We start from the raw sequence: 15616 nt of genomic DNA on the forward strand, positions 1-15616 counted from the left end.
CTGTGTATTAGTGTCTTTCTGAATCACAAAGAACTCATGGAGAGTTATGATCACATTGAACACAGTAAAGGAATAACTATAATCATTTTTTTCAATTATACAAACATGATTGACTTTTTAACGAAAGACTGCTATTCTTTCAAAACACACGTTTCTCTCGCATTTCAGTTCCTTTTGCACTCACATTGCCATATGATACTCCTATCAAGGCTGTGATTTCTTCGGTGAATTAAGCAACAGAGCATGGATAGCAAACAATAAAACAGCTACTTTTCATGCAACACAAAAGAGGGAGCATTTTTCTCAGCACCGCGGCCTCATCACATCTTCTGTGTTTCCTGTCCCATGGGCGACGCCCCCACTCCCACCCGGTCTCCTTCCCGAGCAGCTCTGGGCTGCAGAGCCAGCTGCGTGCCATCCCGCTCTGCTTCAGCGCACGCTGAAGACGGCACTAGGACCCAGGGAAGTCCCCGAGCGGGGTTCGCGGAAAGGCAGCCAGACTCCTCCTTATCTCCAGTGTCAAACTTGACATCAGCCTGCGAGCGGAGCATGGTAACTTCTCCAGCAATCAGAGCGCTCCCCCTCACATCAGTGGCATGCTTCATGGAGATATGCTCCTCTCACTGCCCTCTGCACCAGCAACATGGATTGTCAGCTCTCCATCCTCCTCCTTCTCAGCTGCTCTGTTCTCGACAGCTTCGGGGAACTGATTCCGCAGCCTTCCAATGAAGGTAAGCCAGGTACCGCGACGCACGGAGCTCTGCCCCGCGGGGCTCACGCTCTTCAAAGCACGTTCTCACCGAAGCCTTGCACGTCGGGAAGGTGCCTCCGAATAGAGCAGTTTGCTCTGAGAGTGAAGGAAAGATGTGCCTTTTTTTTTTCCAACTGTCTTCTAAAACACTTCAGGAGATAATTTTAGATGGTCTAAACTTTGAAAATGTGTTTTTAATCTGACACCATTTCGAGCAATTACCTTGTTTGCCAATTTGAGCAGAAAGAAAGAAAGAAAATCCTCCAGCGTTGCAACCCAGTTATGTTAATTGCCAAATAGCCAAGGCAGTATTTTATTTTCTAATTATGACCATGTGGTACTCCGAGAAGTTTGAAAGAAAATTCAGCCTTCCTCTCTAGACTCTTTAGTATGTTTAAAGGTAATGACAGGTTGTTCCTACTTGGGATCATGGCATTTATGAATGGACTAAAGGGAAATCAGAGTTTGTCGAAGCGGAGGTGCGTGTTTATGGTGCAAGGGCTGTGTTGAAGTTGTGTGTATCCCGCCAGGCAATGGTTTGCTCTATGGTACAGGTTCTAAAGAGCAGCATATGCCACATTAACGTAAGTAATATTTGCAAGAATTACAATAAGCTTAGGTTGGATTCTCTTTGTTTAAAGGCTTATATACAAATAGGAGAATGTATTTAATGAATAGTGGATAGCTCCTGGGAAGATATAGTAAATAACTGAATAGTAGATTAAGAGAGAATGTTCATATGCAGCAAATGGCATTTCCTTGATGTTGTGTTATTTATTATCCTTGTAATGAGCATTAATTCCTTTTCAGTGGGTTAAAGTGCAAACCTAATGTTAAGGACACCAATGTGTTCTATAAGATTGTGTACTTAATACATACATTTTCTTTCTCCTGTATTCCTTTTGTGATCTATTCTTGTGAATACAGTCACTAACTCGTAAAACAAACTTCTCTAAATAATTGATTAGTGTAAAGCCACACTTACAACATTAATTTCCTCTTAGTGATTTTGAACTTATAACAGTAACATTTAGCAATTTATTTTGCAAGTTAACAATACCGAGCAACTGATGTGCAAACATCATGTTATATACATCACTCCTTAGAAAATATATTGTCAAGCCAATACTGTTGTATATGTACCTTAATTTTAAAAACACGAGTAAAAACAAAATACTTAGAAAGTTTTTTATTAAATGTAATAACTGCCTGATACTCGGTGACCTACTTTCACTGCTAATAGAGCAGTAATTTATCTCCTTCCTTACTGACTGCCTTTATCAATTTGGCAGTTTTCATTAAATGTTCTGAATCTTTTTTCTAAATAAGAAAATGAAAATTCTAAAATATAAGGATCAAGAAAATTATCTTACCCACAAATGACTTTTTATTTTACAAACCAAATTAAAATGTTTATTTGAAAGTAAGAGTCAATCATTCTTCCTGAATGAAAGGTAAGAGTATTCATTTGTATAACGGGTAACATGTATAATAGGTAACATATCAATAAATTAAACTTAATGTTTTAAAAATTTTTGTTCTTTGCAGATATTAAAATATTGACAATAACTAGAAAAATAGTATTAAAATTCCCACATTGTCATGATAAATTATATTTTCCAGATAGAATGGTTATGAACTATGTAGATATGGATATTACTGAATTAATTATGCACAAGAATGTAGCTGTTAGTCAGTATTTTTGTGGAAAACAACCTTTAAGTAAACTGCAAGAGAAAAAAAAAGACACCAAACTATTTCACACCTATGTAAAATTAATCAGTATTAATTTAATGAAACAGAGTTAATCAAATACAAATTGCTTTTAAGCCTCACCTCATGTATGTTTGGGGATATAATGTATATAATTATACAGACAGGTACACATTAACCATATGGATATAGAAAGGTAAATATATTCAGAAAGCTGACATAATTGCATTTAATTTGCTTGGATGAAAGTTTATCCATCATTCATGGGATTATTCCTTCCAGATTGTGTCCTATGGGTAGTGTCTCTTTTCCTTCCTGTGATTGTGAAGGGAAGCTTTAAAACAAATTTAAGATGATTTAACTTAGGTAATACTTGAGTGAGATTTTAAATATTATCCATAGCTGGGCTCTCAGTTGAGTTGAATAACATGAAAAGTGAAAATGCCAAGTATGTGCCAAGATTTCCGTGCAATTTTTCTAACAATGTAATTTAAATAGAAAGCAATTCTTTTGAAAATGTATATATGAGAGGAGTGGTGATTTAAAAATGGTATTAATGTAGTTTTCTGATATAATTTTTTAATTTTGAAATATGAAATACTAGACTGTATTTAAAATATTATGATTGAAATATTTCAACACTGTAAAAAATTTATGAGAAATTTACTGAAACATATTTACTAGAATATATTCTTCAATCTGTTATGAAGTTAGGCATTTGAGAACCAAAGAGAACAAAACCAGGCCATTGACTTAATTGCTAGGACATTTGCAGTTGTGTGATGTGTTTTTTAATTTAAGATTTAATCATTAAACATCAATATTGAAATGCCATGGGTCCCTGATAAGAAAAATAACTTAGAAAATGTTTAATCTGAATTTTCCTTCTATTAATGTATTTACAAATATCTCTCTTATATGCTTTCAAGAAAATGACTCCAGGTGATAATAGGGACTCATCAACGATAACAGATATTCATAATTCCAATGATCACTTGACTCAGCAATTGGCCTATATACTTAAACAGAACTTTATAAAAACTTTATTAAATTCTTATCAGGTCTCTCTGTTTACATGGCTTAAGAAAAGACTTTTAATGGGAGATCAGCTGTTTTTCATGGCAAAATATGATTGCTACACTACGTATTATTTTAAAAGTTCATATACTTACTCCTAGTTTCCATACCACAGGGATGATTAATGGTAAACAGAAATAACATTGGAACAAAGTTAAAACTGGATATAAAATAAAATTATCAACTGTGGTTACTTCAACCCTTTCAGAATTGGTAAAAATACTTTCTTTAAACACTTTTATACATTTATGGCAGTCTGGGGTACAATGCACTATTAATTCATCAGCACATAATACACTAAATCATTTTTTCTATCCAAAAGAGTTCATAAATTGGATTAACATTTACCTAGAAAGCTCTTTATATTGAAAATAGAGTATCCAAAATAAAACTGAATAAAATTAAATATTCATATTTATATACTACTTTTTTAAAGACTTTTTTTAGTAGCTAAGACACTATTTCTATGAAATGCATTTCCCTAAATATAAATATTCTAAATACTAGAGGAAACTATGCAATTGTTTAAAACTTAAAAGTAAAACTTGCATATGAATATTATAAGCTTCCCTTTGAGTAGTAGGCAAATGTTGGAGAAAATAAATAATCAATTTTTTCATTTTTAAAAATTACAATAAATTGGCATCACTTTTCATATATAAACACTTTTCCTCAAATAAGAACACACTGTGATTAAAACATTAATAGAGAACTAAGCTATCATATCATCTTTATAAGTTTTTTTGGTTTGGAAGAGGGTTTACATTTGCTTTTCATAGCATTTCATCATGCTAGACTAAATAATTGAATGCATTATACATTTTTGTAATTTAATAGCTCTCCTAATAGCTCACCCCTACATCCCCCCCCCACCCCGCCTCCATGGTTAACTGTGCTATTTGCCTGAAGGTAGGAGAAACCTTATTTTCACTATTTTATAACCCACAACAGTTAACACTTGACCTAGGTCATTAACAGGATTATCAGCAAATTTGTTTAAGCTTTTACTGACAATCTGAATTGCTACGATAATATTTTGAATGTCCCGTAAAGAAACTTTTTGTAACCTCTCAAAATCTATCACAAAATTAATTCATTCTGAATCTATATCTTTGTAAAGACTAGTATCTATAATAATAATTTGAGTGGTGAAAAGGTTCACTCGGATACCTCAATCTCTTTATTTTTATGTTTCATAATCATACTATTCCAGTCCTTGTCATAAATGAGCAATTATAAACTCTTTTAGATATTACATCTTCTAGTAATAACAATAGATTTATCAATACAAAACAGTTTCACTGTAACTATCAATATTTTTAATTTTATATTTTTAAATTATTGTTACTGTAGTTGATAGGGTTTTCTTTGCCTATTTTAAGGTTAAAAGTTAGTTGGATATACTTCTAATTCAGAAGTGACTGGACTTATAAAAGGGGAACTACATGTAATAAAACACCATTGCCACGTGTTAGATCATGGTTGTATTTTATATAAAGTTGTCTTTCCATGAAACACTAGAAATTGGGAGCTATAATGAAAAACACTTTAATACAAAAATTTAAAACAAAATATTGTACAGAATCAGATCTTAGAGAGTTATTTTTAACATTTTTTAGTAGGTTTAGGAAGTTTTTGGTAAAGTTTTTCATTTCTTGAATTGAATTATGGTTGGCTCGTTGGTCATATTAACAACTTAGTAATCTCACGTTGCTCTTAATAAGTTTATTATTAAATAAATGATTTAGTAACATTCTTTATGTATTGCCTACATTTAACATTCAAACTTTGGTGTGTTCCTTAAGGGTCCGACCATTTTTAATACTTTTCCACAATAAATTTCTTTCTAATGTTAAAATCCTTTCAGAAATTTAAATTTTTTTCGGAAATAAAATATATGCAATTTTTAAATATCAAATAGTTACTTTTGCAAATGATTTTTAAAGGCAAAATATATTTCCAAAATATATTTGATTTACTAATTTCAACACAAATGAAAAAAAAAAGAAGTGTTCTTGAAAGTTACATTTTCCAAGTCATAAGATCTTCAGGAAAATATTAATAAAACTTTCCTCAAATCATCAAACTCGATAAGGTTTTATAGACATTTACTAAAAAAAATCTGTGATCTGGGCTACTTTTTATTTGAATCATTCTTTCAATGATTCGGTTTGGCATAAATACTAGATATAAGGGGAAACGTGTATTTCTTGGAAGAACATTAAGTTTTACAAGTTATTTTCTGTCAAGATCCTCAACTTTATTTTTTAGCCTGCACATTTTTTCTTTAAAATATTTAATAAACCTTGTTCCTTTAATTCCTGTTTGAGAGAAGATTTAGAAGAACAGATGCAGGTGTCTCCTTTTGGGTTCTGTTTTCAGAGATCTGGATTTTATCATCACGGAAGGTCAATAAAGGGCTTTTACCAAGTACACAAGTAGCTTTCCACAGATTTTTTAAATAAAGGGTTGACCAGTAGTGTGAAACATTCATTATATTATTCATCCAGTTATACAGAAAACCAGGATTAGAAATTTACTTCTCAGAAATGTGGAAACCTTAGCTAACTCTTCTGTAACAACTTTAGAAATATTAGTAAAAGCAATATTGTGACATTTATAAAATGCAAAGTCTTCCAAGTCACAAATCAATCCACCTAGGAAGACATCCCTCAGTGTGTTCGGGGTGTGGATACATGTGCGCCACTTGCTTGATTTCATTAAGTCTGTTCCCAGCTGCTTGGTATCAGGTAGTTCTTGGAACCTGGCAGGAGGTTTTCTCCAGGAAAATCTGAAAGTCAGCAAGTTTTAGTTTGCCTCCTACCAGCTTCCTTTGTACAAAAAAAAAAAAAAAAAAAAAAAAAAAAGAGGGGAGGGTGGTCGATTACAAAGAAAAAAGTTTTTGCAGGAGAAAAGAAAATAAAAAAAGTTGATTAGAAAACTGGAGAAGTAGAGAAAAGCAAAGGTTTTAAAGCCAATGTTAATATATAAATCATTTGCTTAAAAGAAAGGCATTTATCACGTAAAACATCTGGCTAATCAATTTTTATTAAATCCCTAAAAACCCCGCACACTTAAAATGGGGTTGAGGTGGGGGGGGGCTGCATTTCTTTGTTTCTCCTCAAGTTTACACACTTTTGATTTTTTCCCAGAAGAAAATATTTCATCCAGGAAAGTTTTAAGAGTGACAGCCAAAAAATGCTAAAATGCTTCCCCCTTTGAATGTCTGGACGAATGCATGTGGAGGGGTGGACAGAATCAAAATCAATTCAGCAAATAAAGCCTCAAATTTGAAGTGATGTTATTAAACTAGAAGCCCTGAGTGTGAACATCCCCCAACCCTTCATTTTCTAAATCATGTCCCGCTGTTCCAGTCAAAGCAAAGGGTGAAAATCCACATAATCCAAACCAACATGGTGAAGTGAGAATAATAGGTGAGGAAGGAGGAGGAAAGCAAGTGGCAGCACTGTACAAACAAACTGTTGTGAATATTCCTCGCCATGGACAGGAGTAGCCACAGGAGGGGATAACTGCCTTTCTTCTTCTTCGCCTTACACTTTCCACATTTGATAATGCAAATTCATTAAATTACAAAAGTGTGTCATGCGAAATTTTAGCACAAAGCAGAGCCGTACGGGTAGAGACAGTAATGTGGCAACAGGGAGATGAGCAAGTGTTCCTTGCTGCCACCACACCCACCATCAGGGTGTCTTAACCACAAACTATTCTCCGCTAGGTCCAGGCTCGTTGGTGCAAAGGGAAAACAACGGTGTCTCTCAACAGTTCACTGCTTGCTCACTCTGCATCAAATTAAAGATGAGATCATAAAAAAACATCTCCGGGTGCGCGTAACGCAGTCTCAGCCCTCTGGAGGCCAGTGGGTTCTTTGTGCACAAGTCTCTCCGCGCCTGGCTGCCCAAGTCAGTTCCCGGAGCGCGACCAGGGTGCCACGGCCTCCGTCCCGAGGTAGGGTGGGTGGGCGAGCGCAGCCTGATGCTCTTTTGCTCCGGGTTTCTGCCCCCGGGCGGACGGTGTAGACTCTGTAGCGAGCGGAGAGCGAAGGTGCAAAGTTAAGCGAACACGAGCGCCAGGAGGAGACTGGAGCGCGCGAGAGGCAAACGTGCGCCCTCTGCCTGCTGCCGCGGATCTGCTGGCACTGGGAGAGCACGGCGTACTCCTTGCCACCTGGACCCTCCTTACCTGGGCGTCAGTAAGACGCCAGAGAGTCCATGCGCCTTGGACGGGCCTGGCAGGTCCTGACCTGAGGAATAGACTTTAATTCAGGATCTACGATCGCCCTGCCGCCTTTCGCATTGCTGTCAGCTAGGCTTTTCAGTTTGATGTCTGGAAGTGGCGTGTCTCTTTTCCATCCATTTTCATGGGTTCACCAGGTGACAGCCAGGGGAAGGAGATATTCTGCAAGGTTCGCTGCCGGATTGAGAAAGCATCTCTTACTGGGTGCGCTTGGTTGAGACTCACAGGAGTTGCCTCATACGCCCTGTTGTGCAGCTTGCTGATTTCTAACCCTATCCCTTTACTATTTCTTCATCTTTTGGGCATTCAACTCTTTTGGTGTCGCTAGACTAAAATGAAGAATATCTTTTTTTTTTTTTAGAAAAATTTTCTTTAAAACTACCTGCTAGTGCCACCTTTAGGCCCCTAGTAATTGCTGAGGGGATGTCAGTAAACTTTTCCCCTGTGCATATTCAAAAGTTGTCTGTGTTCTCCCAAAGCCCGTGTTTGACTGACACCATTTTATTAAAACAGGATTTTTCCTCTTCCAATATTGGGAGTAAACATGGAATGGGCAAGAGAGGGTTTTTGGGAGCTGTGCTATCGAGATAGCTTGGTGGGTGGATGATCCTGATGTTTCTGTGGCTGTGTTAGAACTTCAGTCTTTTTCATAAAAGATGATTTTGTTAAATCCTGTAGACTTCAAGACTAATATATCCTCAGTGCCGTGTTCAACACTGAGAAAATAATTGCTCAGTGCTCTGCTGGCAAATAGATTTTTCCCTTACATTATCATTCACGACTTACTGAACCTCATTTAATCGTTAAAGCAGCCCTAAAATAGGTAACATAATGTTTCCCATTGTTACAACTGAGGAAACTGAGAAAATGGATCATAATAAAGCGGTAACTAAGCCAAGCCCTCTCTCGTCTTTGTCTTTTGATTTTAACCTCATATGTTTTCTCCTAGACACAAATGACTATGAACTAGGGAGGCATCATTGTCAGGAAAAGCACTAGCTTCTCAACCTTAATCCCAGTGACTGTACTAATTTGTCTTCTGACTTTGCAAGGATAATTTAGAAACATTCAGAAATTTGTAGTGAAAAATTGAAGAAAACCATATAAATGAGGGTACTTTGGAACTGTAGTTACACTCATAAGTTATGATTATCTGCGTGTGGGGGGGACCCACTAAGAAACTAAGTTAAAGGAATTTGTTGTGGACAGAAGAGTAGATGAAAATATCTGTGATGACTTTTCTTCACACGTTCTTACCTCTGTGTTCCTTTCCTGACACTCAAACACTCCTTTCATCACCCTGGAAAGAAGATTTTGTCAGGAATTCCATACATACAGATAGTGAGGAAATTGTACAATATAACCAGAGTGTGATTATTTAGGGTTATGTGTAATAAAAATGAAGTGTGAATTAACAATTGGAATTATCTTAAAGGTCAGTAATAGGAGAAAATAGAACATGGTCCAAAAAGTAGACTTTAGTCTCTGTGGAAATTTCCCCCCGTTTAAAATATAATTTTTAAATTGCTTAAGATGAGAAAATAAATTTTAGTGATTTAGCTCTTCTTTCATAAAAGCACTTGTATTCTATTTAACTCCTGCCATTGAGAAAAGGTAGCTAAAACAGGCTTTTGAAAGGTAGCAAATTAAGTTGGGGGCAATTATATTTTTCATGTGGGTATTTTAGCACATATGTTTTGCATTAATTGCTGCAATAAATTCTGTTAACCTGGCAAAGAGCAAAAATAGCATATTGATGACATCAGGCTTCCAAAGCAGAAAGCAGCTTTTAGTATCTTGCTGTCTTCACTGTAACATTAAAAAAAAAAAAAAAAAAAAAACTAATGTGGTGGTTAACCAAAGAGTTAGCCATTCTTTCAAGCTATTGGCATATTTTCCATGAACAAAGTGAAGAATTAGCAACAAACTTTTTCCCCCTTACTTCCAGAGAATTCATGTCAATTACTCATTTTCCTGTTATTTGATTTTTTATATTCATATTTGTTACTCATTTTCCTATTATTTGATTTTTTTATATTTATATTTGGGTTTTCAGAACTCTCTCAAATCAAGGCAAATGTAAACTGACTTTAAAGGCTCCAAACTGAGCTGTCTTCCCTTTTAAGACAAACATCTTGACTGATTACATAGCAGGGCCTCAAAAGGGACTTAAGCAAATAGAGAATTGTGGGTTAATTTTATTACTGAGAAGTTTAGTTGGTCAATATCAAAACTGTTTCTTCTCGATTTTTAATACATTCATTTTGAGAAGGTTAATATAGGTTTTTTCAATTAATAGTTAAGAAAAATAGATGAATAAGATCTAAAGGTCCAGTAAGTGTAAACTGCCTCATGTAAGACTTTAAAATTTTACTTTTTGCCTATGATAAAGTTGATTGATTTCCAATCAACAGGAAATTGTAACATTTCCTATCTACCTCAGACTGACTAAGGGGAACACAGAGCAGCTTGTTAGCAGTTAACATGTATTTATTTCCTGATTTTCAAACGCAATTTAGCAATTAATAAAACTGTATAGCTTTTAAAGGGATATATTCTTTCATTGCATCTGATGGCAGTCTTCACACTGAGGGAAAGTCTGGGAAGCTAATTTGCAATGTCTTCCATGTGGATTATCTAACTAATCCTCTGGGTAAGCAAAACACCACTCACAGGAAAAGTCTATTTGCAGCACTGTGTGGTGTGTTATATCACCAACAGTATTGTCCTCTTACAAAACTGAGCTATTCCCAAACTGTAAGCAAAATTTAATGAATAAATATATACCTTTTGACCTCATTATGGCATAATTTTTTTTTGAATTACAAACAGGTGATGTGAAAAAAACAAAAACAACCATTGATTTATTTGTCACTATCTAATCTTGTTCATTTTCCCCAATTGTCCTCTAATCATCTATAATATTCAAAGGTGGCAAAAAGGCTAGAGTTATATACAAACTGAGATTTCTTTCCCCCTTGAATAAGTCACAGCTGATCATGGTAGATTTTGCTTTTTTTACAGAATAAAAGAACTGACAGCATCATAGAAAACTAGAACTAGAATTAAGTCAGATTGTTACTCTTTTATGAAATCTATAAACACCACCAAATCTAGTAACTGCCAAATATTGGAAATATTTTCAAAGATGCAGTATAAAAGGACATAGTATTTTTCTCTTGGTTTACTTTTACTATCTGGTTTACTATAGATAATTTAATACTCATTTACATTCGATAACTCAAAAAGATAAACTTAGAGGTTTTATTATAGTGTTCTTGACACTTCTGATCTAAATTATGATTTGATTGTCCTTGTTCTCTGAAAAAGAAATTTCCATGTGTAATTATATGTATTTCATCTGGCTAAACTAGTTAATCCATGCTTAACAATGGTTTTTTTCTATATTTTCAGATACAAGTGATTTTCTTTGACATTTGTACATTGCATAAAGAAAATTTTTCTTATCTTTCAAAGTGATGTTCCAAATCATACTAAATGTTTTAATATTCCCACAAGAAAAATAAAATGAGAGGAAGAAAACTAAAAAGATATAAAATTAGTAATATTCCTTTAAATTTTTCTTTCCAAAGGTGATCCTTTGGAAATTAACTAAGCATGTTTTATTTTATGTTTGGCCAGGTGTGTAGTAGGTTTACTACCCTAACCCTATTAGTGAAAACTTTGGAACTCTAAATGTAATGACAAAGGCACAACTTTAAGAATCATTAAAATGAGTCAAGAAAAGGGTTGATATATAACTAATTGCCTGTTACATAATGACTCATCTTTCATATTATAATAATTTATTGTCTGTTTATTTACCAAACAGTACTTATCTGAGGATTAGTTACCCACTAGATTTTGAAAAAAAATATCTGCTAGGGAGTGGAATGCTCTGTGCTCTTGAAGATGTCAAATTCAATGGGATAAATGAATCTAAAATAAATACTTATATAAAAATTGTTATAACATAGATATGAAAATTATGAAAATATGATATGAATCTTTAGTGGAGGGTGCAATTTAAGTCCCAGAACAGAGTCCCTGAGAGACAGGGAGAATTTTTTTAAGGTAAAAGATAATAATAAATTCATAAAAACAAGGACTAGGAGATTAGAAGCTTTGCTTAAGTTCATGTGGTGGGGATAATTTTAACCCAGATTTATTTTTAACTGCATGTAACTTTAAAAATAATTTAAATGAATATATAACAAAGACACACTTTTAAGCATGTCCAAAATAACTAAATATTCAGAAATAGTTCTTGTTAAGCACATACCGAAGCTAACATAAATTCTTTACATTACATGTGAGTGCATGTGAATATATTGGAAACACATGTGACTGAATATCAAAATAGAACCATCTCCATATAAAAACTTCTGTAGGTGCTATTCCTATTATGACTACACTACCCAAAAATATCTCATTGGTCTTTATTTGCATTCTGCCATCTCTTTCATCAATAAATTAAAAGTTTTCTGACTATTCCAGTGCGGAGTTTGATGCTTTCCATTGACACCATGCTCCTAAGATGCAAAGGAAAAGACTAGTGTTTTGAAATAAACTGCTAAGAATGTGGTACCATATTTGATCCTTTGGGGACCATTATAAAAACCCAAAAACAAGTCTTGAAGAGTTTGTTCGTGTGTGTGTGCCTGTGTTTGTAGATGTCCATCAAATTTGTATTGTCATGATCAAAATAAATGATACACCTGAGATTTTAGACAATCCAGATATTCTGCAGAATATGATGAAGTCAGAACTTTATTCTGATTTTAGTTTTCCAGAAATTTGTTTAATAAGGAAACCAATTTATTCTACAGTGGGGTTCTTTCAAAACAAATATGTGTGTATGTATGTGCACATGTGTGTTTGGGGATGCCAAAATGTCCAGAGGATGTTTTTAAATTTAAACTTACTTTTGTTTCACCACTACATTCTTTGTTTCCTATGCTAGAATTTTGAATCTTTATATCCAACGGACTTCTAGGAACTATGTTTATTTCTAAAGGAAATACTACATTAGAGTTATTCTGTAGGCCAGTTTTCTTCTTGTATTCTATTTTCCCAGCCAACAGTCAAACTCTGGCTGAACAGATAGCCTGTGCTATCTGGATGTCGATATTCTACATTTTATGATAATATGATTTTTTAAATACCAAGATAGACTGATTTTATGGGGTGAAGGCAAAATGCATATGCTGTAGTTTAAACTGCTATTTCCCTTAATGACTATTTGTATTTCATAATTGAGTAATATGTTTTCATTTTTCACTTTTTAATCTTTCAAAAAGGTCTCTCTGAATTGGATGTAAACAATCATTCTATTACTTCTGGAACACTTTAAAAAGCAAAACTGTGAAAAATAAAATGCTGTTTACATAATAATGTCCTGGTTTTAGAAACTTACATTTTGGGAGACACATTTTACTCGTCTGAATGATTCATAATATCAGTTAACAATGGAGAGAAACAAAGAGCTGTTATTTAAGTCAGGCTGTTAGTGCACTAAAAATTCACTGGCAGTAGAGCATCACAACTCATTTATGTGAAAGGATTATTTTGTTATAAGAACACATTTTTCTACTGATATCTTGATACCTGTTTGTTCCATAATAGTTTTGATATCAGTATGACCTTTATATTTCTCTGATTAAAAGAGAAAGAAAGAAAATTTTAACACTTGATAAACAGCATAGGATTGACATTTACTAAAGTAAGTTTCTAGCAGAATTTTGTTCTATGTTATTTCCTGAATCACTCTAGTTATAAAAACACAGACTCATCTTATTGTGAGACTCTGTTTTGATTCCAAGGAGTTCCCCCTACTGTTGGCAAAGATTGAGATGAGACAGCTAATTGCAATTTCTTCTATAAGATCTTTATAGAAATAAATCCAAAATTATTGCCCAGGAGAAAAAGCTAATGAGAAAGAATAAGTTAAGTGCAGAAATCTTCTTATATCACATAAATAGGCTGTTAAAATACCACCTGACCAAAGGTTTTTCATAGCAATGTTTAACATGGCAGCATTTAAAAAATTACTACATCAGCCTGGCACGGTGGCTCACACCTGTAATCCCAGCACTTTGGGAGGCCGAGGCCGGCGGTTCACGAGGTCAGGAGATCAAGACCATCCTGACTAACGCGGTGAAACCCCGTCTCTACACAAAAACAAAATTAGCCAGGCGTGGTGGCAGGTGCCTCTAGTCCCAGCTACTCGGGAGGCTGAGGCAGGAGAATGGCGTGAACCTGTTAGGCGGAGCTGGCAGTGGGAGGAGATCGTGCCACTGCACTCCAGCCTGGGCGACAGAGCGAGACTCCGTCTCAAAAAAATAAATAAATAAATAAATAAAATAAATTATTACATCATAATTTTAGCTGTTCATTTGATAAAAATTGTATAAATTAACATTTCTGTGATATAAAATGCTGCTAAATTTAACACAGTTTACAGGAACTTTTATCTGCACACAATTGACACATAATAGTTGACTTCGTTTATAGTACAACATTTTTATAATTTTTATCTGTGAAATAAAATACTAATTAAAGCTATTAAAGTATTTTGGCTGGGCACGGTGGCTCACGCCTGTAATCTCAGCACTTTGGGAGGCCAAGGCGTGCGGATCATGAGGTCAAGAGATCGAGACAATCCTGGCCAACATAGTGAAACCCCGTCTCTACTAAAAGTACAAAAATTAGCTGGGTGTGGTGGCACACGCCTGTAGTCCCAGTTACTCAGGAGGCCGAGGCAGGAGAATTGCTTGAATCCAGGAGGCAGAGGTTGCAGTGAGCCAAGTTTGTGCCACTGCACTCCAGCCTGGCGACACAGGGAGACCCCGTCTCAAAAAAAAAAAAAAAATTATGCTTGGGTAGAAAGAAAATAAATACAAACAGGAAGTCCACAGGAACAATTAAATTAAGAATATACAAGCATGGTAGATAAAAGTTATGTTGCAATATATAAGTACATCAAAAATCTATCTTCTCTAAACTTCTCAATATCATACCCTGCTGCTTACAGTAAAACAGAAAAGCTGAGCTTTGCTGAATTCCTATCAGAAAATATAGGTCGATTTCTTAATTCTGTATTATGTTTGACCGGAGAACTACACAGAGAATGATAACACTGAGTACAAAGTTTATTTCTTTCTGTATCATTTTCTTCAATTTGTGACATTTAAATATACTTAGAAGCAGATTGAAGAGCTCTGTGTAGTCCTGTAACCTAGAGCAAAGTTATTCTGCTTATTATAACAGAAAGTGGTGAAAATCATAAAGATAAGTATTTGTGAAATGAGGCTGGGACAATTACAGTGATGGTGTGCATAGAAAGAAACTGTCATTACTCTTTAGTGAAAACAAGATGTAATCAAAGGATGGGCTTATTTTTGTTGTAGTGGTTTTATAGTTATTTGTACTTGGCTATAAAAGTCCCTTATAACTGAAGGTTTTACTAGAGAACATGTGCATTATTATATGAGTTTGAAATTCTTTAGCCATTAAAGCCTACTGTTAACCTTGAAATGATTGTTTAATAATTATTTATAACTCAGTTTCATAAAATGCAACTATAGCCTTACCACAAAGCCTATGGGTGTATTATTAGGTAATTGGAAAGATCTGCTTCAGTAAAAAACTGTGGCATTTAATTTTAAAAACCTTTTAGAACTCTCTGCATGTTTGTGGCACTTAAAAATCTTTCAAGGTGTGAATATTAGTTTCACTCTCAGTCTTTCTAAGTGGACAAGTAGCCACTATGAATCAGAATTTAGAAATGTCCTTTAAAAATCTTTATGTGTTAATAATTCT

The 15616-nt window shown here is 34.6% G+C and overlaps 1 protein-coding gene across 5 annotated transcripts in view, besides 2 other annotated features; it reads left to right on the forward strand.

The window, feature by feature from the left end:
- Positions 358 to 497: an enhancer, noted in NCBI's record as "active region_20121". NCBI's record gives its function as "activates an Ori minimal core promoter by ATAC-STARR-seq in GM12878 lymphoblastoid cells {active_cell/tissue: GM12878}" and the evidence as "EXISTENCE:reporter gene assay evidence [ECO:0000049][PMID:35858748]".
- Positions 516 to 15616, forward strand: part of EPHA3 (EPH receptor A3) — a 374514-nt gene continuing 359413 nt past the window's right edge. For all 5 annotated transcript variants that reach the window (NM_005233.6, NM_001410778.1, XM_005264715.4 and 2 more), the window contains exon 1: positions 516 to 731. In NM_005233.6, coding sequence (NP_005224.2) covers positions 644 to 731 — 88 coding nt within the window. In that variant the 5' untranslated portion in view covers positions 516 to 643. The remainder of the gene's footprint in view (positions 732 to 15616) is intronic.
- Positions 7579 to 7688: a silencer, noted in NCBI's record as "silent region_14549". NCBI's record gives its function as "represses an Ori minimal core promoter by ATAC-STARR-seq in GM12878 lymphoblastoid cells {active_cell/tissue: GM12878}" and the evidence as "EXISTENCE:reporter gene assay evidence [ECO:0000049][PMID:35858748]".

The sequence above is a fragment of the Homo sapiens genome, chromosome 3 (assembly GCF_000001405.40).
Source record: "Homo sapiens chromosome 3, GRCh38.p14 Primary Assembly".
Classification (NCBI taxonomy): Eukaryota; Metazoa; Chordata; class Mammalia; order Primates; family Hominidae; genus Homo; species Homo sapiens.